Source organism: Homo sapiens, chromosome 1 (genome assembly GCF_000001405.40).
Source record: "Homo sapiens chromosome 1, GRCh38.p14 Primary Assembly".
Classification (NCBI taxonomy): domain Eukaryota; kingdom Metazoa; phylum Chordata; class Mammalia; order Primates; family Hominidae; genus Homo; species Homo sapiens.
Genome location: NC_000001.11, coordinates 42,537,025 through 42,561,680, shown reverse-complemented (window position 1 = coordinate 42,561,680; position 24,656 = coordinate 42,537,025). Strand labels below are relative to the sequence as shown.

General features: G+C 38.8%; 1 protein-coding gene across 11 annotated transcripts in view; it reads right to left on the bottom strand.

Annotated features, from left to right (window-relative positions):
* CCDC30 (coiled-coil domain containing 30) overlaps nt 1-24,656 on the bottom strand; it is a 201,084-nt gene that overhangs the window by 95,510 nt on the left and 80,918 nt on the right. For 2 of the 11 annotated variants that reach the window (NM_001395517.1, NM_001080850.4), the window contains 3 exons: nt 22,371-22,508; nt 16,102-16,271; nt 5,276-5,525 (listed from right to left, as the gene is read on the bottom strand). The exons of 7 other annotated variants lie outside the window; for them this stretch is intronic. In NM_001395517.1, the coding sequence (NP_001382446.1) occupies nt 5,276-5,525; nt 16,102-16,271; nt 22,371-22,508 (558 nt within the window). Of the gene's footprint in view, nt 1-3,404; nt 3,543-5,275; nt 5,526-16,101; nt 16,272-22,370; nt 22,509-24,656 lie in introns of all 11 variants that reach the window. 2 more of the 11 variants (NM_001355224.2, NM_001355227.2) reach the window with 2 other exon arrangements.

The following is a 24,656-nucleotide window of genomic DNA, read 5'->3' as shown; positions in this document are numbered from 1 at the left end:
TCATCTACAGAGACAACTTGACTTCCTCTCTTCCTATTTGAATACCCTTTATTTCTTTCTTTTGCCTGACTGCCCTGGTCAGAACTTCCAATACTATATTGAATAGGTATGGTGAGAGAGGGCATCCTTGTCTTGCACTGGTTTTCAAAGGGAATGCTTCCAGCTTTTGCCCATTCAATATGATATTGGCTATGAGTTTGTCATAAATAGTTCTTTATTATTTTGAGATATGTTCCATCAATACCTAGGTTATTTAGAGTTTTTAACATGAAGGGATGTTGAATTTTATCAAAGGCCTTTTCTGCATCTATTGAGATAACCATGTGTTTTTGTCTTTGGTTCCGTTTATGTGATGGATTATGTTTATTCATTTGTGTATGTTGAACCAGCCTTGCATCCCAGTGATGAAGCCAGCTTAATTGTGGTGGATAAGTTTTTTGATGTGCTGCTGGATTTGGTTTGCCAGTATTTTATTCAGGATTTTTGCATCGATGTTCATCAGGGATATTGGCCTGAAGTTTTCTTTTTTTGTTGTGTCTCTTCATGGTTTTGGTATCAGAATGATGCTGGCTTAATAAAATGAGTTAGGGAGGAGTCCCTCCTTTTCAATTGTTTGGAATAGTTTCAGAAGGAATGCTAACAGCTCCTTTTTGTATTTCTGGTAGAATTCAGCTGTGAATCTGTCTGGTCCTGGGCTCTTTTTGGTTGGTAGGCTATTAATTACTGCCTCAATTTCAGAGCTTGTTACTGGTCTATTCAGGGATTCAACTTCTTCCTGGTTTAGTCTTGGTAGGGTGTATGCAACCAGGAATTTATCCATTTCTTCTAGATTTTCTAGTTTATTTGCATAGAGGTGTTTATAATATTCTCTGATGGTAGTTTGTATTTCTGCAGAGTCAATGGTGATATCCTCTTGTCATTTTTATTGTGTCTATTTGATGCTTATCTCCCTTCTTCTTTATTAGTCTAGCTAGTGGTCTATTTTGTTAATTTTTTCAAAAAACCAGCTCCTGGGCCGGGTGCAGTGGCTCACACCTGTAATAACAGCACTTGGGAGGCCAAGGTGGGAGGATCATGAGGTCAGGTGTTCGAGACCAGCCTGGCCAGCACGATGAAACTCTGTCTCTACTAAAAATACAAAAAATTAGCCAGGCATGGTGGTGCGTGCCTGTAATCCCAGCTACTTGGGAGGCTGAGGTAGGAGAATCACTTGAACCCAGGAGGCAGAGGTTGCAGTGAGCTAAGATCACACCACTGCACTCCAGCCTGGGTGATGGAGCAAGACTCTGACTCAACAACAAAAACAACAACAACAACAATAAAAACAGCTCCAGGATTCATTGATTTTTAGAGAGTTTTTCATGTCTCTATCTCCTTCAACTCTTCTTTGATCTTAGTTATTTCTTATCTTCTGCTAGCTTTTGGATTAGTTTGCTCTGCCTCTCTAGCTCTTTTAATTGTGATGTTAGGGTGTCGATTTGAGATCTTTCTAGCCTTCTTATTGTGGGCATTTAGTGGTATAAATTTCCCTCTTACCACTGCTTTAGCTGTGTCCCAGAGATTCTGGTAACTTGTCTCTTTGTTCTCATTGGTTTCAAAGAACTTCTTGATTTCTGCTTTAATTCCATTATTTACCAAGAAGTCATTCAGGAGCAGGTTGTTCAATTTCCATGAAATTGCATGGTTTTGTGTGAGTTTCTTAATCCTGAGTTCTAATTTGATTGCACTGTGGTCTCAGAGACCATTTGTTATGATTTCAGTCCTTCTGCATTTGCTGAGGAGTGTTTTACTTCCAATTATGTGGTCGATTTTAGAATAAGTGCCATGTTGCACTGAGAAGAATGTATATTCTGTTGATTTGGGGTACAGAGTTCTGTAGACGTCTACTAGGTCCATTAGATCCAGAGCAGAGTTCAAGTCCTGAATATCCTTGTTAATTTTCTGTCTCGATCTGTCTAATACTGACAGTGGGGTGTTAAAGTCTCCCACTACTATTGTGTGGGAGTCTAAGTCTCTTTGTAGGTCTCTAAGAACTTGTTTTATGATTCTGGGTGCTCCTGTATTGGTTGAATATATATTTAGAATAGTTAGCTCTTCTTGTTGAATTGTTCCCTTTACCATTTTGTAATGCCCTTCTTTGTCTTTTTTGATCTTCGTTGGTTTAAAGTCTGTTTTGTCAGAGACTAGGATTGCAACCCCTGCTTTTTTTTGCTTTCCATTTGCTTTGTATATTTTCCTCCCTCCCTTTATTTTGAGCCTGTGTGTGTCTTTGCACATAAGATGGGTCTCCTGAACATAGCACACCAATGGGTCTTGACTCCTTATCCAATTTGCCAGTCTGTGTCTTTTAATTGGGGCATTTAGCTCATTTACATTTAAGGTTAGTATTGTTATGTGTGAATCTTATCCTGTTATCATGATGCTATTTGATTATTTTGCACACTAGTTGATACAGTTTCTTCGTAGTGTCATTGGTCTTTATATTTTGGTGTGTTTTTGCAGTGGCTGGTACCGGTTTTTCCTTTCCATATTTAGTGTTTCTTTCAGGAGCTCTTGCAGCGCAGGCCTGGTGGTAATGAAATCCCTCAGCATTTGCTTGTCTGAAAAGGATTTTATTTCTCCTTCACTTATGACGCTTAGTTTTGCTGGATATGAAATTCTGGGTTGAAAATTCTTTTCTTAAAGAATGTGGAATATTGGCCTCTAATCTCTTCTGGCTTGTAGAGTTTCTGCTGAGAGGTCCACTGTTAAACTGATAGGCTTCCCTTTGTAGGTGACCTGGCCTTTCTGGCTGCTCTTAACAGTTTTTCCTTCATTTCAACCTTGGAGAATCTGATGATTATGTGTCTTGGAGTTGATCTTCTCATGGAGTATCTTAATGGTGTTCTCTGTATTTCCTGAATTTGCACGTTGGCCTGTCTTGCTAGGTTTGGGAAGTTCTCCTGAATAATATCCTGAAGTGTGTTTTCCAGCTTATTTCCAGTCTCCCCGTCTCCTTCTGGTACTCCAATCAATTGTAGCAGAACCCTCACTTTGGAATTAGACACGCCTGTGTTTCAATCCTGAATCTACTGCTTATCAATGGGTGATCCTGGAAAGATTACTTCATCTTCTATACTTCAATTCCCTCATCTTAAGATATGGATAATAATGATTACTGCTGGATGGGGTGATGAGTTAGAAAGATAACACATGCAAGCACTTAGCACAATGTCTGGCACTTAATAAGCACTCAATAATGTTTCCCATTACTGTTGATGCTTCCTAATTTTCCCTTAACTGTCTTCATTTTCCATCTGCAAACAACATGGAATGCCTTGATCACCATTCTACCTTCTTGTTTAACCATTATATAACAGCTTTTAACAATTAATTAATAATCAACAGCCTATAGGTTAACATACCAAAACAGAGATACTGTATACAAGAGATGCACCCCAGTTTTACCAAGAGGACAAAGGCCCAAAAGTTTTAGCTTCTTTTGAAGGATGGAAAAACCAGAACAGTAGTTCTTCTCATCTACATTTTCCAGTTCAGTCACTCTGCCAGAGTAGAAATGCAAATTATTTTTCAAGAAAGTCAACTGTTGAAGCAGCTAGCTACTAGACAAGCAGCCAACAAGAGTCTCTATTTTTTTTCCCACCATATAATCCTGGTAGAAAGTTACTGCAGAGCATAAACACTCAATCAGGTTACTAGGAACCACAAAAAAGAGCAAGGTAAGTACACAGGGGTCTTTTGTTTTTTTCTCAGTCAACAGATCTATTAAGCCAATTACCCTTTCTTAGTCTTCATTTATTCATCTGTAAATTAAAGACATAAGACCAGATGATGCCTAACATCTTTTCCGTCTTAAGGAATTACAAATTCCTTAAGAATTAAAATAAAACAAATTGGAACTAGCCTTAACTATCCTAATTTTATCAGCTTTTAATATTTTAAAATTTTAAATATTTTATTATTTACATATTTTATTTAATATATTTAATATAAATAAAATATTTTATTTAATATATTTAATATAAATAAAATATTTTATTTAATTATTTAAATATTTTATTGTTTAAAATTTTTAACATTTTATTTTAATAAAATAAACATTAAGTACAAATGAACTTCATAAAATACTGGTCCCAATGGCAAGTTCATTCCTATTGTGGCAATAGAGTGAAGACTACTGGCTAAGAAAATATTTGATAATCTTTGTGATCACAGTGTTCAGCTTCTGCTCAAGCCTCCCACACTGGCCAATGTCCACTGACCAATGTCCATCTGGAGCTGTAAAAGTAATCTCTTCTTAAATATTTGATGTCATGTTCCCCTTTGGTCTTCTGAACAAATTCAGTGACTCCTTTTCCTTTCACAGGTGTATCTAAATCTCCTTTCAGGTAAATATTTTCCCCATTTACTGTGACTTGTCTAGTTTTCAAACTCTGTATCTGAATCCTTTCAAATATATTTTTTAACTTCCTTTATTGCTACTCTTTTTCTAAACGTATACTTGAATCACTTTTCAAATGTATATTATCGGCCTTCTATTTACTTATGAGTACAAAGGCCTCCCTTCTGTGGATCTCAAAATAATTTCTGGAAAGGTGTATGTAAGGAAATTTTAATTTGTGTAAGAGAGAACCTGTAAAATGAGGTGTAAGAACCAAAATGTGGCTATAGTCACTACTTTTATTTCTCCTACAGGCAGATCCCTAGTAAAATAGCAAAAGCCATAATTAAAATAATAAAATGTCTGTCGTATTTTCCTCACTAAAATGAAGTACTCTGTCTAGTAAGCTACATACCAGAAATGGAAAATGTGGTGCATCCTACCATCCCCAAATCCTGTCTGGCTAGGGCAGATGTCAACAGTCAATCGGTAATTTTCCTGCTGAGCTTAGATGGAGTTTATGAACATTTTATAATAAAGTGCATCAACTGATGGACTTAGTTCAGATTTTACTTGCTATTTTGCTACTATTCAGGCCATGGTTATAATATTGCTCACAAATGTATATGATAACTCAAAGAGTGTACCTGGATTGTTTGTAATACAAAGGATAAATGCTTAAGGGGATGGATGCCCCATTCTCCATATGTGGTTTTTATGCATTGTATACCTGTATTAAAACATCTCATGTACTCCATAAATACACACATCTACTATGTACCTAAAAAAATAAAAAAAAACATATATATGAATGATGGTATTTAAAATGATGCTTATATCCACAGCCAATCAGAGGAAACGAACCCAGTCAGGGCATGTGTTTATAGCACCTACCTGGGCACCACTGTCATCTGAACTATCCCCAGAGCTCTGAGACTGAAGAAGGCTCTGATTTATATGGCTCAGCTCTTCTCTAAGCCTCACAATTTCCTCAGGCTTCATGGTTAACTGCTGTTCTTTTTCTTCATCTTTCATATCTCGATTCTGTTGTGAGCCCTCCTCCTTCTGCCCCTCTCTTGGAAAACTGCCCTCCTTTACTGACTCCTCTGGAATTTCCTTCTGCTTTCTTTCTCCTAATTTGGGACTTGGTGCAAATATAAGAATAAAATCTATCAAAATGCTTATTATAGTAGTAGAATCGGGAAAAAAAAGCTACAAGTCAAGACAGTGTTGCAAACAAGATTTTCAACCTGAATTCTATAGCACAACAGTCATCTTATTCTTAAAAATAAACTTTAAAAACATAAGTCGGCCGGGCATGGTGGTTCATGCCTGTAATCCCAGCACTTTGGAAGGCCGAGATGGGCGGATCACCTGATGTCAGGAGCTGGAGACGAGCCTGGCCAACATGGTGAAACCCCGTCTCTACTAAAAGTACAAAAATTAGCCAGGTGTGGTGGTGTATGCCTGTAGTCCCAGCTACTCATCAGGAGGCTGAGACATGAGAATCACTTAAGCCCAGGAGGTGGAGGTTGCAGTGAGTCAAGACTGTGCCACTGCACTCCAGCCTGGGTGACAGAGTGAGACTGTGTCTCAAAAAATAAAAAATAAAAGAAAACCCACAGATGAGTCACATTTTTTACTTACATTCAGGGAGATGACCCATCACAGGTTTTCATTTACAGCCAAACTGCCAGTTTAAATGAGTTTTATACTTTTTCAACTTTTAGTATGGCATTGAGCAGACACAGGTTATAATGATTTTAATAAGCACTAGCCACTTTGGCAGGCACTAGGGCTTCAACAGGACATGATCTGTGCCCCAAGGAGCTTACAATTTAGTGATGAATGAGGATAAGAAATGAGCTTACAATTTAGTGAGAAATGAGTAGTAAGTAATACAAGGCCTGATGGATGAGTAGGCACAAGCTAAACAAATGTAAAGGGAGGAAGGAGTGTGTATGTACTTGCATGTGTGTATGGACGTTGGGGAAGGTGGGTGTTGGTATAGATGAGAACATGAACAAGCAAAGGTGTGCCAAAATGATTTAATAAATAAGATATGTAAAACCCCGAAGCAAAAGAGAGAAGGTGCTTTAGAAATATTATTTGGATGCCATGTGGCAGGGAAACCATTTGAGAGACTGTTGTAATAATCCATGTAATAAATAACAATAAATAGAACTATGATGGACTCTGGAGATATTTAAAAGACAGTATTGATAAGGTTTGTCATTTATTGGATGTGGCAGGTAAGGGAGAAAAAGGAATCATCATGACCTGGATTTCTGACTTGGGAAATGGACAAGTGGATGGTAGACCAACATGTGGGAATGTGGCTATAGACTGACTACAGAGATGTCTGTGGTGAGGATACAGACACAGAAGAACGTGAGCAGAAACACTGGGACTGGATAAGACGAACCAGGGAGAAAGGGGAAAGTAAGAGGAGGCAGATCATCCTAGACAGAAGCCTAAAAACTTGTAAGGAACAAGCAGAGGAGGTGAAAGCCACAGAAACCAAGAGGAGGGAATGCACCTTCAATGGTTAGAGAGTGTGGATGACAAGGAGAATGAACACAAATATGCTGGTTTTATTTTTATTCCCTCAATCTTAAATTTTGTTTTGAGTACCCTGAAACCTAGCACAGCATGCTTCACAGATTATAGTTGGTAATCATATTCTTCAAGAAATCAATTTGGCAGTACAGATCAAGAGCCATGGTCAGGTGTGGTGGCTCACGTCTGTAATCCCAGCACTTTGGGAGGTGAGGTGGGCGGATCACCTGAGGTCAGGAGTTCGAGACCAGCCTGGTCAACATGGCGAAACCCTGTCTCTACTAAAAATACAAAAATTAGCCAGGTGTGGTGGTACATACCAATAGTCCCAGCTACTTGGGAGGCTGAGGCAGGAGAATCTCTTGGACCTAGGAGGCAGAAGTTGCAGTGAGCAGAAATTGCACTATTGCGCTCCAGCCTGGATGACAGAGGGAAACTCTGTCTCCACAAAAAAAAAAAAAAAAAGAAGCCATAAAATGTCCATAATCTTTGAATAATTGCATATGAATGAGTTTACTGCAATAAAATAATCCATAAGAAGAAAAAAGATGACTGTACAATAATGCTCATACTAAATAGAGATATGGAAATGGCTAAGAGAATTAAAGATGCTTCAACTTAAAAGTGACCTCAAGACTATTCATAAACATGAAAACTACTTATCAAAGTAAAATTGTGGCGCAAAAACAAATAAACATGTATGTATTAACGTGTGTACACACATACATACATATATATATATACTATGGGAAAATGTCTAGAAAAAGCTGGAAAGGAACAGGGAGAAAAATTGTGTCTAGGGAGTGTTTTATTCCTTTTAAAATTCCTCTAATACTATAAAAAATAAATATTTTATTTTGAATTTAGCAGTTTTTAAAAGATAATATATTCAAATGATGCAAAACAGTATGAGATAAAGGGTAAAATGCCTTTAAAAATTTTTATAAAACAACAATGAAATTTTCCATCATTTATAAATCCCTTTCCTTTTCTTATATCCAGTGGAAGCTAGACACACATTAAGACTGGGAAAATGCAAATGTATACCGTGTGTGTGTGTGTGTGTGTGTGTGTGTGTGTGTGTGTGTATGGAATCTCACCTTGTCACCCAGGCTAGAGTGCAGTGGGGCGATCATAGCTCACTGCAGCCTTGAACTCCTGGGCTCAAACAATCCTCCTGCCTCAGCCTCCTGAGTTGCTGGGATTACAGGTGTAAGCCACTGCATCCAGTAGTTTCATATTTTTTTTTTAAATGGAGAAAATGGACTTTTTCTTCGAAGAAGATGGAGTAGACACACTTTCCCCCTATTTTTACCATTAAGTACAACTAAAAACTCTGAACATTATATATAAAACAAACATTAAAAGACTTTGAAAGGTGGAAAGAAGAAGGCAGACCAGCTAGGGAACTCAAGACCCAAGGAACGACATGGCTGTGAGTTTCCTGGGTGTTCTTTTTGCCTCACAGATCCCTGAGTTGTAGCTGAAGAAGACAGCAACCCAGACAATGTCAACAAGCACAAACAAAAACAACAACAAAAAAAAAACAAAAAAGTCCAAACAAAAGTCTGCCATCTTTAGCCAAAGCACCAGAAAAGGCCAAGGAAGAAACACAATTTTGGACACCTACCTACTCCAGCTGAACGTCACAGAAAAAACTGTGCCTTCACCTCCACTTATGCCAGCAAAGCCCAAATTGGGAGCCTAGATTTCCACCCTCACCAGGCTGTAATAAGGGATTCCAATTCCCTGACTGGGGTGGTGTCAGAGAAGGCCAAGTAGGGATAAGGGACTTTTATCCCTGCCGAATAATAAAGAGCTCCCCTACCCTGCAGTGTGAGGGGAGACCAGGTGGTGAGTTTAGAATTCCAACCCACCTGGAAGGGAGGAGGCACACTTCTCCCTTTCCACTGGGGCGGTGTCAGAGGAGGCCACCACCTAGCACAATAAGCCACCCCCACCCACCTGCCTTGTGGTATCAGTGGCGGCCCCGGGGAGAGAAGTCACAAGTCACTCCTCCCCTTCTCAGCCATGTGCTGTAAGTGGAGGCTACTGGAGAAAAGGAATTCCCATCCTCACCAGCTGTAATAAGGAACCCTTCCTCCTGCAATTACCTCAAAATAATTTTTTTTAAAATTTTTCCATTTAAAGTATATTTTTCCATTTAAAAAATGGAAAATCCATGAATTGGTGCTTTAAATTTAATATATATGAAGGTGTCTCATTTGTCACATTAAGAAGGATGAATGACTTTATAAAGACCAGACTTAACCAGACCAATTTAATTTCCTTCTGTAAATACATAATGGCCATAGAAGAACAGAAGTGGCCTTTGTTATGTTTCCATAGTTTAAAGACAAGGTTTAAGTGTCCCTCCTCTTTGGTGGGTCCATGAGATGTGCCTGTACAGCCACATTCAGAGCATGGCGGTCAAGGAGTTTTCCCTGACTTGGAAGGAATGAGCAGTGCTCTCCAGGATACAATTCTGGGCTAATGCCATTTTACATTTTTATTAATGGGCTGGATAAATAAATTGCATTCACATGAATCAGTTAATTAGTAAATTAAGGAGAACTAGCAATACCTGGGAATACAGGGATTTAATATTTAAGTGATATTGATACATCAGGACAAGAATCCATGAAAATAAATGCTCCCCCAAAAGAACAGAATTTGGCTAGGTACAGTGGCTCATGCTTGTAATCCCAGCACTTTGGGAGGCCAAAGTGGGAGGATCACTTGAGCCCAGGAGTTCGAGACCAGCCTGGGCAACATAGGGAAACCTCCGTCTCTACAAAAAAATTTTAAAAATTAGCTGGATGTGGTGGCATGTACCTATGTGCCTGTGGTCCCAACTACTCAGGAGGCTGAGGTGGGAGGATCACTTGAGCCCAGAAGGTCGATGTTGTAGTGAGCTGTGATGGCACCACTGCACTCCAACCTGGATGACACAGCAAGTTCCAGTCACACACACACACACACACACACACACACACACCAGAATTTATCCTTTCAAAAGGTATAAGAGAAAATGTGTATACTTAGAAACCAAAGGAAGGCTGAACAGATTTTTAAAAGTAATACCTAATAGTATGTATTACTTTATTATTATGTTCACATAATAATAATATTATGTATTGCATTAAAGTTGTGTGGGCAAAAGCAGACTATCAGCCAAAAATTATATGGAGTTGAGAACATGTCCTATAGCCAGCACGTCTGCATCTTAAAAACCGGAAAACCCACCATGACTCTCAAATTTTTGCTTCCTCCTGTTGTAGTTCTTAATTTTTAACTGAAAGGATTTATTACCTAGTTCTTATTGAAACACCTCCCTTCCCCCAGCTTCTGCTTTTTTACATCATGCAATACTTCTGCAATTGTCACCAGTCTTCAACTGGTGGGAGGTATCTAGGCAGCAACCCTGTCCTATTCCTTTTCTAGTAGCATACATGCACAGCAGTCTCAAACATATACAGATTCAAGAAAGAGCACAGTACAGTAGAAACCATGAGTGCTAGTCCTGTATCTTCCACCTACTATTTACGTAACCTTCTACAAGGCACAATCACTCAGAGTCTCAATCTCTTCATTTGCAAGGTGGTCTTTCCTTTCTCATAAGCTTTTTGGGATTTTTGAAGTAAAATGTAAAGGCATTTTGAAAACCTGCAAGGCAGCACACCAACATGGCACATGTATACATATGTAACAAACCAGCACATTGTGCACATGTACCCTAGAACTTAAAGTATAATAAAAAATGAATAAAAAATAAAAAAGATATCATTAAAGTGAATTAAAGCCTAGTAGAACAGAATAGGGGTGGCTAACGATGAAACTTTGTTCCCACAGAGGAAGAAAAAGATTCAGTCATTTATTTGTCAAATATATGTTGAATATCAACTATATGACAAGCACTACTCCACATACTAAGGATTCAAATAAGTGATCAACACAGCCAGGTCTGTGCCCTCACATAGCCTACATCTAGAGGAGGACAAGAAACAAACACACAAACAAATAAGATAATTACCAACTATGATAAGTCACAAACAAGGTGACATGGTAAAGTATTTGGAAAGTAGGAGTTATAATTTGCCTAGACATGGCAGTTAGGAATTACCACTCTGAGAAGGAGTTAGCCACATGAAAAGCTGGGGGAGGACTATTCTGAACAGGGGAACCTTTTAGTGCAAAGGTCCTGAAGCAGGAAAGTCCTTTAAAAGTTGGAGGATCTAAAAGGCAGCAAGATGAGGAGGAGGTAGGTAGAGGCCAAGTCATGGAGGGCCTTATGGGTCATGGTAATGGTTTAGATTTTAAGTGCAATAGGAAGCCATGGAGAGGGTTTTAAGAGAGAGAACAATATTATTCGATTTGCATTTAGAAAAGACCATTTGGCTACTCCATGGAGAATGGATTGGGAGGAGGGTATGGAAGCAGGGAGGACAATTAGGAAGATATGTAACAGTCCTGATGAGTGATATCAGTGCTATGGAGTAGGGTAGCAACAGTGGAAATATAGATAGAAGTGAACAGATTCAATATTTTATGTTTTCATGGTAGAAGTGACAGGATGTGTTGGTGGAACAGATGTGGGGAAGAATCAAAGGTGACTCCTAGGTTTTGGCTTGATCAATGTGTGAATGGAGGGGCTATTCACTGAACAGATTGGACTGGGGAAGAAATAGTTTGGAGGAGGATGAAAAATACATTGGTAGTCTGTGAAGGAGACAGAAAGTCAACATCAAGTTGAACTTGAAATTAAAATGGACTTGAACACTTATCAAACAACCCTTGATAAAGGTAGAAACGATGCAATGAAATAGTGAATGAGAGTGTGTTGGAAAGAACAAAGCTCATTAAGGTCAAGGAAGCCACTGGCTGTTCTGGCCCAAGCTTCCTAATAAAACAAGGACAGGCTGAGATCAGCTGGGCTCTATAAGCTTGGGGCTGCTATTGGAATTCCAACTTCGGATTCAGTTGCAAGATAGTGCAATTGTATACCCATTGTACACAGTAGGAGTAGGGGGAAATTTTCATTTACTCAAATATTTTGTGAGTACCTACTATGTGTCTGGCATTGTTCTAGACACTGGAGACATAGTCAAGAACAAGAGAGTCTGGGCTTAGAAGAGTTCCTCCCACCCTACCTCTCATGTTATACATATAGAGAGACTGTGCCCTAAGCGATTTTTCAGCACCATAAAGCTCATTTTCTGAGAAAGTGACCTAGAACCCAAGTGTCCCAAGACCTTCTTGCCCTTGCGATATTTGTGACTACATCTTCTCCAAAGCAGATAAAGTAGTACTTCTCGTGACTCAGCGTTAGGAGACTTGGGTCCTCATCCCAGTCCTGCTGGTAGCTTGCTGTGTATGTGATTGTGAATGAAATAGTCATTTCAGTTTTCTTGGTCTCAGAGACCTCATTTGTGAAAAAAGAAGACTTAGCTAAATATCAGTGGTTTTCAAACTTATTTTAGCTGTGGACCCTTTATTGAATTAAAAATCTTACACAAAACCCAATATATGAAACATAAAAGTGGAGCTTCTCTGGGTGAAATGGGAATGGAGGGCTCAATGGTCCCGCTCATCAGTCCTTCCTCATCTTACAAGGTAATTTCTGAGGCCCCTCTGCAGAATTCCTAAAGTTTTGGGAAGTAGAAGTTTGAAAACTGCTAAGTTGGAAGATCTCCTGAAGGTCCTTCCAGTTCTAAGAGTCCGTTACTCTATGACAAAAGAACTATAAACAGAAAAACAAGACACGGCCCATTACCTTAATACCTTAAAGGAGCTTAAAATCTAGTAGAAGAGATGTACTGTAAGGATCAATCAATCAACTTGGCTTATAAGCAGCTTCTGTGTGCATGTGCCCATGCTAGGTATGCTGTACCACTTGCTACTTCACTTCAATTGAAGACTCTGGCTCATGGCTTTCTGTCACCTTCTTCACCCCAAGTCCTGCCATCATACTGGAAGATTGCAAGTCCCATAGAGACCACCCATGAATGCCTTGGCATCGCTTCTTCCATCTCCTTCTCTCCAATTACCTTCTCATCTCTCCTATTTTGTCAACTAATTGCATGACCATGTCATGAGTTGTCAGCAGCAGCAACTATTTCACTTCTGAAATATTAAAATTAAATATTGCATTCCAGCTTTTCCTTTTTATATAACTTGGTCCCAAGGCAATCATAGTATCTGCAATTCCTTGTCTATTTTTCTATCCATTTTACTGATAAAAAGCCCTTGTTTTACTTGCTTCCAAATCCAATATAGAGTTTAGAGTTCATTATTTCAATCACTGTCTAAATAAAATGGTCAACTCTCTTACCCCATTGTCTTTCCACTGCACTCACATGGCAAAACCCCAACCCTGGATAAATCCAACTGTCTTCTCTTGCCTATACTAAACTGCTGAATATTACTAAAGAATATCATCTATTCTCAAAGACAGATGAGCCAAATAAATTCAGCTTCTCTAGCCTGTTCTAGTATCCTCCACGCTACCAAACACTGTAGTAGTTTCCCACTGTCCAAACTCCCTAATACAGGTCTTCGTGTCCCTTCATGATCAGGCCTCTGCCTGCCTCTTCATTCTCATCATCCTGTTCCCCATTTCCTCTCTTCACACTCCATGCTATAGCAGCATAGAGGTCACTTTTAGGGCCTCAAACAAACCATGCTTTCTCTTGAACATGCCATATCTCCCCTGAAAATTATTCTCCCATCTTTTTGCTTGGCCCCTGATTACTCAGACTTCCTTTAAGAATATTTTTTGATTCATTAGCCTGGGCCAGAGCCCATGCTTTGTGTTCCCATAGTACTCAGTACTGCCTTGTTTAACCATTTTTCTCCATCAGACTATGTGGACCATAAGGATAAGAAACTGTGTCTTATTTTACATCTTCGGTACCTCCCTACAGTGCCTGACACATGGTAGATACACAATGTCTTGCCAAATGTGGTTGTGTTATGGACCCATGATGAGGGGAGGCTGTGAAGAGGGGAATAGGAGATAAACAAGTAGGAAAACATTATGAGAAAAAAAGGAGAAGGAGGCAGATGGCAGATACCTAGACTTTTCAGAGTCCCAGTTATGGGAAGCAGATTGGACCAAGTCCTGGAAACAGGTGGCATCAAGGAGCTCTTAAGAGGGAAGGCCATTATCTTTCTTATGGCAAGGTTTCCCACCCCTAGATGAATTAAAGCCACATCCTTGCTCCCCACGGCAAGTATCCCTGCCAATTACCCAAAATCACCTGGGTGGACTTTTGTCAGATTTGATTATTTATGTCAGCTCCTTTTTGAAGAACTTTCAGATTGACCATTTCATCTTCATTGCCACTTACTCAATGTAGGCAACCATCTCTTCATCTATCACTCATATATAGATTAATTGGTCTATCTTCCATCTCCATTTTATCTAATAAAGAGATACTAGAACAATCTTCCTCAAAAATCCTGTAAGACACTGTTCCAGTGCTCAAGAACTAGACTTTCTCTTTCCCTACAGCAAACCTAAATGCTGTGATGTTGCTTCTTGGCTCTCTGTTTTTGTGACCATTATCATACCCCTTCCCCATCGTCACTCCAAGATGCTCTCCCACATCTGCAACTAGGTTTCATAATTGTGAATCTTGGACTCAAAGCTTACTCTAAAGTTAAAGCAACTTTTAAGAGGGCATAATATTTAGGAGCCCCAAACTCGCAAAATAATCTCCTTCTATCTTTAGAACATTTACAAAGATATAACTTTGTCTACATCTAGACTATATTTTCTCACTTCATTGATGAATGTATCCTTTAGTATGGTATATGTCAAAATTGACATCATTGTTTCCTTTTGATTATTTAGTTCTAGACTTTTTCCCAGACAAAATTTGATTGCAACTATTAACTTATGTGCCCAGGAAGAGTAGTGCACTTGCCAAAGCCTCACGTTTCTGTGAAAGATACTTTTGGTTAGAAAAGTAGAAGTACCTTTAGAGGGCAAAATTAACAAGATAGATAGATAGATAGACAGATAGATAGATAAATAAGAGAAAAGTGGTCAAAAAATTATCATTTGCAATGTAAAATAGAGACAGCAAAAAACAAACTCTGCAGAGTATAGTCATAATTATGTAAAAATATACATATATGTGTATGTATATAGAAAAAAGAAAGACAAATTAGGATGTTAACATCTTAACATCTTTCCCTGGTGAGAATTAAGGGTTGTTATAATTTCCTTATACTTTTGCATGCTTTCTAAGTCTTCTAATAAAAGGATATATATATATCCTTTTATTAGAATACTATATATATATATATATATATATATATATATATATATATATATTTTTTTTTTTTTTTGAGACAGAATTTCACTCTTGTTGCCCAGGCTGGAGTGCAATGGCGTGATCTCGGCTCACCGCAACCTCCACCTTCTGGGTTCAAGTGATTCTCCTGCCTCAGCCTCCCGAGTAGCTGGGATTACAGTCATGCACCACCACGCCCAGCTAATTTTGTATTTTTAGTAGAGATGGGGTTTCTCCATGTTGGTCATGCTGATCTCGAACTCTTGGCCTCAGGTGATCCGCCCGCCTTGGCCTCCCAAAGTGCTGGGATTACAGGCATGAGCAACTGTGCATATGTAACAGGCCGCATACATTCGTTGTTTGAAAGCAGGAAAAAAGTTTTAAAATGTAATAATATATCAAAAGACGAACTTTTTGGAGAATGCTTATAACTAATTTTTCCACTCACATAATTTGGAAATGAATATTAAATTATTATTATTATTATTATTAATTTTGAAACAGGGTCTAGCTCTGTTGCCCAGGCTGCAGTGCAGTGACACAATCATGGCGCACTACAACCTCCACCTCCCACGCTCAAGCAATCTTCCCACCTCAGCCTCCCGAGTAGGTGGGACTGCAGACACACATCATCATGCCAGGCTAATTTTTGTTTTTTGTAGAGATGGGGTTTGCCATGTTGCCCAGGCTGGTCTCAAACTCCTGAGCTCAAGCGATCTGCCTGCCTCAGTCTCCCGAAGTGCTGGGATTACAGACTTAAGCCACTGCACCCAGCCGAATGTCAAATTCTTATAATGATCAAGCCAAATAAAATATACCCTCTCTGAATAATTAATGTGATATAGGATTTTCCCAATTTACCAGAGTTCCTCTGTCTCTTCCTTTCGGCTTTGAATTTCTGTTTCCAAAATTGGTTCATTAGATTCAGGATCTTTACAGGTATTTTCACTTGTAATTAAATTAGAAGGTGCAGTTTTTCCCCCTAGAGTAAAATGATTTAATTGTGCAAATTCTTGTGAAAGCTTCAAGACCTGCAAAATTAAGTGAAAGACAAATATTCTATTTTGCATACTTTTATTTATAGCTGTGAAAAAAAGTATACTGATTTCATTAAATGCTTAACTATTGGCTTATATAATATAAAATGACATCCTAATTGAAGGCTGATTCCAACTTAATTTAATACTTTGCAGTTGTTATATTACTTAATCGATTTTTTTTTTACCATAGGCATAAGGGTATGTAAATTCCCTTTTTTTTTTTTTTTTTTTTTTTTTTAAAGGTATTTTTGGACTCTGGGGTTGGGTTCTCAGAGTGCTGTTTAGCATTTGGTTATACCTTTTAACAAGCACAAATATGTGATCTACAGAGTTTTACATGATCACCACACATTTTTGTTTTCAAGTTTTGAATGTACTTCATTGATTCATAAAAGCAATAATATATAATAAAAACAAAAATATATTGCTGCCAGAAAACATTAGAAAGAATATTAGATATATCTTACGGAGATATCTTCTATATCTATAAGAATATTAGATATATCTTACAGAGAAGAACTTTCTTCCATAGTGGTTCTCAAACCACTATGATATAAAAGCATCAGCTGAAGAATTTATTAAAAGCGCAGTCTTGGCCGGGTGCAATGGCTCACATCTGTAATCCCAGCACTTTGGGAGGCCAAGGCAGGCAGATTGCTTGAGTCCAGGAGTTCAAGACCAGCCTGGGCAACATGGAAAGATCCTGTCTCTATGAAAAATTAGCTGGGCATGGTGGTGTGCACCTGTAGGCCCAGCTACTCAGCAGGCTGAGATGGAAAAATGGCTTGAGCCTGGGAGGTGGAGATTGCAATGAGCCGAGATCAGGCCACCGCACTCCAGCCTATATGACAGAGTGAGACCCTGTCTCAAAAATAAAAATAAAAAATAAAATATTTGTTAAAGAAAATGCAATCTTATATTGTAGCCCCTACCCTGAGTAAGACTCACTATCAGTGGTCTGGGGGCGGAAATGGAAATCTGTACTTTAAATAAGCCTCCCATGTAATTCTGTAAGTAGATGCTTTGAGAATCACTGCCTTTTGTGATTTGGCAAACCATTTGCTCAGTCTTTTTGTTTTGTTTTGACAAACAGATTCTAAAGATTTCCTTTCCTGAAAGGTTACTCTATATCTTCATATAAAATGAAAAAACATTTCCTTCAGGGAGTAGAAAGGATGGGTGGGGAATGATTCTAAGAAAGGAAGATGGGCTAGGCGCAGTGGCTCATGCCTGTAATCCTAGCACTTTGGGAGGCTGAGGTGGGAGGACTGCTTGAGGCCAGGAGTTTGAGTCCAGCCTAAGCAACATAGCAAGACCCCGTGTCTGTACCCAAATAAACAAACAAATAGAATGGAATAAAAAATAAGAAAGGAAAATGGATCCCCATCAAAGTATTGTGCTAAGGTAGACAATAGCCTGCCTGATTCATATCCTGAGCCTGTCTGAAAATGCAAAGCTTCTACATGTTTGATTCTAAGAACACAATGGACTTAATTATAAAGATCAATTTAAGTTTACTTTAAGAGATCCCTTTGGTTTCCTATGCCTTTTCAATTCTCTGAAGAGAAACTACAGTGTGTAAAATGGACTATAATCTCATAAAATCCATAAAATCTCATATGGACTATAACCTTTCTAGGGGAGAAGGTTGGTCTTGAACTAGTCCTTTCAAGTTGGGAAGATATAGATAAGAGAAGAGACTACAAATAGCACATTTTAAGCATGGGGAGCAATATGGCCAAAGGCACTGACATAGAACTGAGTATAGAGTAATTTGGGGGAAAGTAAGGAGGATGATTTCATTGGAATAGAGGCTACAAAGTAAGGAGCTGCAGAAATAAGGCAAGATTGCCGGAGTTTGAGACCAGCCTGGCCAACATGGTGAATCCCCATCTCTACTAAAAATAGAAAAATTAGCCAGGTGTGGTGGTACATGCTGCAACCCCAGTTACTCGGATGGCTGAGGCATGAAAATCACTTGAACCTGTGAGGTGGAGATTGCAATGAGCCAAGATCGTGCCACAGCACTCCAGCGTGAGTGAGAAAGACAACTGAGTGAGAAAGAAAGAAAAGAAAGCAAGGTAGGAAGGAAGGGAGGGAGGGAAGGAGGGGAAAAAAAAAAAAAGAAGGCCAGTTGTGGTGGCTCACACCTGTAATCCCAGCACTTTGGGAGGCTGAGGTGGGCAGATCATGAGGTCAGGAGTTCAAGACCAGCCTGGCCAACATAGTGAAATCCCGTCTCTACTAAAAATACAAAAAATTAGCTGGGCGTGGTGGCAGGTGCCTGTAGTCCCAGCTACTCAGAAGGAATAAGGCAAGATTGAAGGGAGAGGTCAGATTATAAAGGAACGTAAAAGACAATTTTATTAATGAGCTTGCATTATTTTTGTAAGCAGGAAAAAATATTCCAAAATGCTACTTAATCACTAATCTTTGTGGTCATTGTAAAAATGTAAACATTACAGATAATAAATGTTAGTCACTTAAGTAGTAAAGAAAGGCAGCCTGGCAAAATAGGGAGACCCTGTCTTTATTAAAGAAAAATTTAGGCCGGGCGCGGTGGCTCACGCCTGTAATCCCAGCACTTTGGGAGGCCGAGGCGGGTGGATCATGAGGTCAGGAGATCGAGACCATCCTGGCTAACAAGGTGAAACCCCGTCTCTACTAAAAATACAAAAAAAAATTAGCCGGGCGCGGTGGCGGGCGCCTGTAGTCCCAGCTACTCGGGAGGCTGAGGCAGGAGAATGGCGTGAACCCGGGAAGCGGAGCTTGCAGTGAGCCGAGATTGCGCCACTGCAGTCCGCAGTCCGGCCTGGGCGACAGAGCGAGACTCCGTCTCAAAAAAAAAAAAAAAAAAAAAAGAAAAATTTAAAATTAGCCAGGTGTGGTGCCATGTGCCTGTGGTCTCAGCTCCTTGGGAGGCTGAGGCAGGACAATCACCTGAGGCCAGGAGGGGGAGGTGAGCTATGATCTTGCCGCTGCATTCCAATCTGGGTGATAGAGAGACCTCATCTCAGAAAAAAAAAGGATAAAACAGTGGAGTTTAGATTTGACGTTATAGCAAACTGAAAGCTGCTGAGGGTTTCTGCAAAGGATGGTGACACTAACACAAAGCATTTTCTAGGTATTCTGAATTCTCACATGACAAAGTAGTGTATATCTTAAGTGAGTAGAAGCTTTATTCTTTATAACAAAGAAAGTTAAAGCCATCAGACCCTCCATGACATGGCTATTGTGGAACAGGACCAACTCTGTTCCACAGACTTCTTCCTACCAAAATTGTATCTTAGTGATATAGCTCAGTTTAATAATCAGCCATGTTTAAGTAGCATAAGAATTAAGCTTATGGTTCCACTTTCTGATTGAGGCCTTAGGCTAGGGTAGAAAGAGCATAGGCTGAGAATCACCATGTAACTTGGCAGCAGTCTAATATCCCTGGGCCTTGGTGTTCTTATGTGTAAACTGAAGGAGTTGGTCTACATGATCATACTCATTTCAGCTCTAAAATTCTGTATGAGTCTAGATGTTGTAACCCAAACAAAAATGACAGCCTGTAAAATGTGGGCTTCAGCAAATACATACAGCTTCTTTAGCAAGACTATCTTTAAGTCTAAAGCACTCTATATTCTGAAGAAAAACTAGAATATAACTTAAAAATCAAAGATTCAAAACAGAAACTTTTAATGAGTAAAAGTTTGATGGGAAACATAACACATAGTCTCAAAGTATCTCCCCACAAGATATGTATCTATTGCAAAGGCAAAAGTAATAACTTTGTAGTGTAGAAATCTAGCAGACAGTACCTTAACCAAATGATCCAAGTTAATATCATGAGGAATAGAACAAAAATGTCATGTCTCCTGATAAAATACACTGAGAAGGATACAACATTATCTCTGTAGTGTGGGTAATCTGAATTACATCGTGAGAAAACATCAGACAAATCCAAATTAAGAGACATTCTTCAAAATCAATGGTCTTGTTATGCACTGCATGTTTGTGTTGACTCAAAGTTCATATGTTGAAAGCCTTACCCTCAATGGGATGGTATTAGGAGGACACATTGGCAAGTAACTAATGCACAAGGGTGCAGCCCTCATGATTGTAGTAGTGCCCTTTTGAGAAGAGACAGGAAAAAGCTTGCACTCTCTCTCTCTCTTTGCTGTTGGCCATGTGAAGATACAATGAGAAGATAGCTGTCTGCAAATCAGGAAGAATGCCCTCACCAGACACTGAATATGCCAGATATGCCAACATCTTGATCTTTGATTTCCCAGCCTCTAGAACTGAGAGAAATAAATATTTGTTGTTTAATCTACCCAGTCTATTGTATTATGTTATAGCAGCCCAAACTGACTGAGACAGTACTCTTCGAAAATATCAAAATCATAAAAGACAAAGACAGACTGAGGAACTTTTGCAGATTGAAGGAGCTATAGAGACATGACAATTAAATGCAATGTATGATCCTGGGTTGGATCTCAGACTAGGAAAAAAGTTATTCTCTTGCTATAGAGGGGAATCAGAATAAAATCTGAATACGAGCTATAGATTAGATAATGGTATTGTGTCAATGTCAATTTCCTGATTTTGAGACTTGTACTGTGGTAATAGGAGATGTTATTGTTTTTAGTAAACCCACATGGAAATATTTAAGGGTAAAGGAGATTATGTCTCCAACTTACTCTCAAAGAGTTTATAAAAAACTGTGTGTGTGTGTGTGTATGTGTATGTGTGTGTGTGTGTGTGTAGAGGGAAAGAGAGACAATGATAAGGTAAACACGATACCATGTTAACATTTGGAAGAGTGAAAGTATATGGGAAGTCTTTGTACTTTCATAATTTTTTCTGTGAGTCTGATATTATTTCAACATAAAAAGTTTAAGAAAAAAGGAGACCCAGATTACCAGAAGAGCAGATCTGGATCTCTTTATTTTATATTATATTCTTCTCATTTCAGCTCATCTGTTGTTAACTTTTTCAATGATATTTTAAAAGGCCTGGCCCTTTAACTGTACAACGTGATGATAACTTACCTTGCTGACAAGGTCCCACAAAAAAGGCTTAGTTGTATATTATGCTCTACATAGCTACTCTCCCAGGCAGCAAACCCTATGTTCTGGACCTTTCCCTCCCATGTCACATGCTATCTGATCTATGTCCCAATCCCTCAGCAACCTGCTCCTGATTTTCTGGGATAACTACACATAGGTTAAATTAGGCTTTGATTTAGTTACTCACCTTACATATGGTGTTAAAATATAGCCTAATATATTTTAACTGCTGTATTCAAGACTTTGCTCCTTAATCTTTAGTCTAGGTCAAAAGAGTGATCGAGGAAAGGAATTTTCAGCCAGGAGGAGATAGTGATAACCTAATAGGTGGGACTCTAGAAATTATACAGGCAACCTTTCAGTCTAGTATTGGACTAGATGGGAATCCTTTGCCCTGGCCAGGTAGCCTTTTCTTTTTTTTTTTTTTTAGAGATGGGGTCTCACTGTGCTGCCCAGGCTGAAATGCAGTGGCTATTCACAGGCACAATCACAGCACACTACAGCCTCTAACTCCTGGGCACATTTTTAAACTTAGGCTCCCTGGAAGCCATTTTTAAACTTAAGGAACAAGCTTGAATCAGGACATTTGAACATTTTCCTAATTCTAAGCCCAATTTTCAGTGTAACTGAGAAAGACGCTTTGGTCCTAAATTTTTAAATTGAAGACATTTAAATAAATCTTTTACATTATAGAAAGATGCTTTGATCCTAAATTTTTAAATTGAAGACATTTAAATAAATATTTTACATTATAATATGTACTCCAAAAATTAAGTTGGTGGGAAGCTGATTTAAAGTAAAAAAATTTGCAGATTAATCCTAATTGCCAAGTGCTGGTTGAAGTCTGAATATTTATCTTGACATATAGCTTGACTCATAATCCACAGTATATGGCAGTATATGGCAATTTATGCTATAATAATAGAAGAAACTCCAATTCCCAAATCATCTGTTGCTTAAAATTAATTTCCTTTTAACCTATCCTCATAAAAGCTACATTAAATATTGAACATTTAAATACCTAACTCAGTCTCACCTTTGTTTCTAATTCAGAATTCTCTCTTTGTAACAGGTCACATGCTATTAAAAAATGGTCTTTGCTTTCTGATTCCCCTGGAAGATTGTGAACTTCATTATAAAGGCATATAAGCTCTGACTTTGATTTTTGCAATTCCTGATTAAGAAATGAAGACATTTAGTAGAATAAAATAAGACTATTTTCCCCCATAAAAGATATAATATTTTTAAGAATGAATCTTGAAATGGTCCTGACAAATTTTTTGTTTTAAATATTCCAACCTATCCTTCTGGCAGACCGATGCCTTTCTTAGTAGTTAAAACAAAGTTTACCTAAATCAATTAAATCAATTAAATAAACTGAGCATTCTTAGTTTCTATCATTCACAGGTTGAAAGATTTAGTTTCTAGAGTCCTTCCTACATTAAGCAAGGCTTATATACAGGTAAATTCTTTGGCAATGCTTGCAATGACTATCAATAGTTATATTATCTGTTTCTAAGATGTATCTTTTTAGAAGTACCATTTATAGAACAAAGTGCTATGTGGTTTACCTTTAATGTTCTGACAACTTTATAAGGGAATTGCTGAAAGTAAGGCTCAGAGATCTTAAGTGACCTGCCTAAATTCACATAGCCAGGAAGTATAAAGCTGAGATTCCAAATCCATAAATCTGTCTGACTTTAAACTCTGTGGTTTTTTAAAAAAAATTTATTTATTTATATTGATGCGGTCTCGCTATGTTGCCCAGGCTAGAGTGCAGTAGCTATTTACAGGTGTGATCATGGTGAACTATAGTCCTCAACTCCTGGGCTCAAACCATCCTCCTGTCTCAGCCTCCCAAGTACCTGGTACTATAAGGGTGCCATGATGGACAGCTTAAACTCTGTGTTCCTAACTACAAATTATGCTTATTTAATTATATTCAGTGACTTAATTAACCAGGGTTTTCTTTAATCCTCTGATGTTTTTTTCTCTTTCTCTTTTTTTTTTCTTTTTTGAGACAGGGTCTCCCTCTGTCACCCACACTGGAGTGCAGTGGTGCGATCACAGCTCACTGAAGCCTTGACCTCCTGGGCTCAAGTGATCCTCCCACCTTAGCCTCCTGTGTAGCTGGGATTACAGACACATGCCACCACACCTGGCTAATTTTTTTTTTTTTTTTTTTTTTTTTTTTTTTGTGGAGACAGTGTCCCACTATGTTGCCTAGGCTGGTCTTGAGCTCCTAGTGATCCTCTTGCCTCAGCCTCCCAAAGTGCTGGGATTACAGATGTGAGCCATTGTGCCCAGCATGATTTTTAAAAATATATATCCACAAGAGAAAACACTTTGGCTAAATGCAGATTTTTTTTTTTTTTTTGAGATGGAGTTTCGCTCTTGTTGCCCAGGCTGGAGTGCAATGGCATGATCTCAGCTCACTGCAATCTCTGCCTCCTGGGTTCAAGTGATTCTCCTGCCTCAGCCTCCCAAGTACCTGGGATTATAGGCATGCACCACCACGCCTGGCTAATTTTGTATTTTCGGGAGAGATGGGGTTTCTCCATGTTGGTCAGGCTGGTCTCGAACTCCTGACCTCAGGTGATCCGCCCACCTTGGCCTCCCAAAGTGCTGGGATTACAAGCGTGAGCCACCGTGCCCAACCTAAATGCAGATTTTTAACAGATTTTTACATTGATGACACAGGATGTGCACTGATTGACTGGTGGAAGACTTTGGGTTGAGAGTCAGTCTGTGGTGCTCAATGAAGGGAATAGGTTACATAAAATTTACTTCAGGAGAGGAGCTACTTGGTATTTTCCCAAAGCCTTGAAGTCAAAGTGGGAGGTAAATGCTGATTAGAAAGGCTTAGACAAAAAGGCAAGAAGGTAGAGGGTGGCCTCCCAAAACCACAGGAAGAGGGTAAATGATAATTGATTTCCTATCTTATTTCACTGAAAATTCCTGTAGGTCATTAGGATGAGATTAGGGGCACTGCAAACTACAAACTGATTGAGTGTCACTATCCTCTAAATTACTGATTTAGACTTCCATGAACTCACTTCCAGGTCTCTTTTCATAATATAGGCTGATTATGTCTCCTGATAGATCTTTCCAAGATGGCAGGACAAGAAGTTAAAACGAGCGATAAGCCCATGACTCTATGAACACTACAACAATCAAACGTCTGCTAAATAAAGGACTCTTTGCTTAGTGCTAGAACTCAGCTTGGAGAAACAACAGAGCTACCCCATTATTATTATAGAAACACGTATTCTACAGTGCTATGGACTGAATTGTGCTCTCCCTCCCTATTCATATTGTTGAA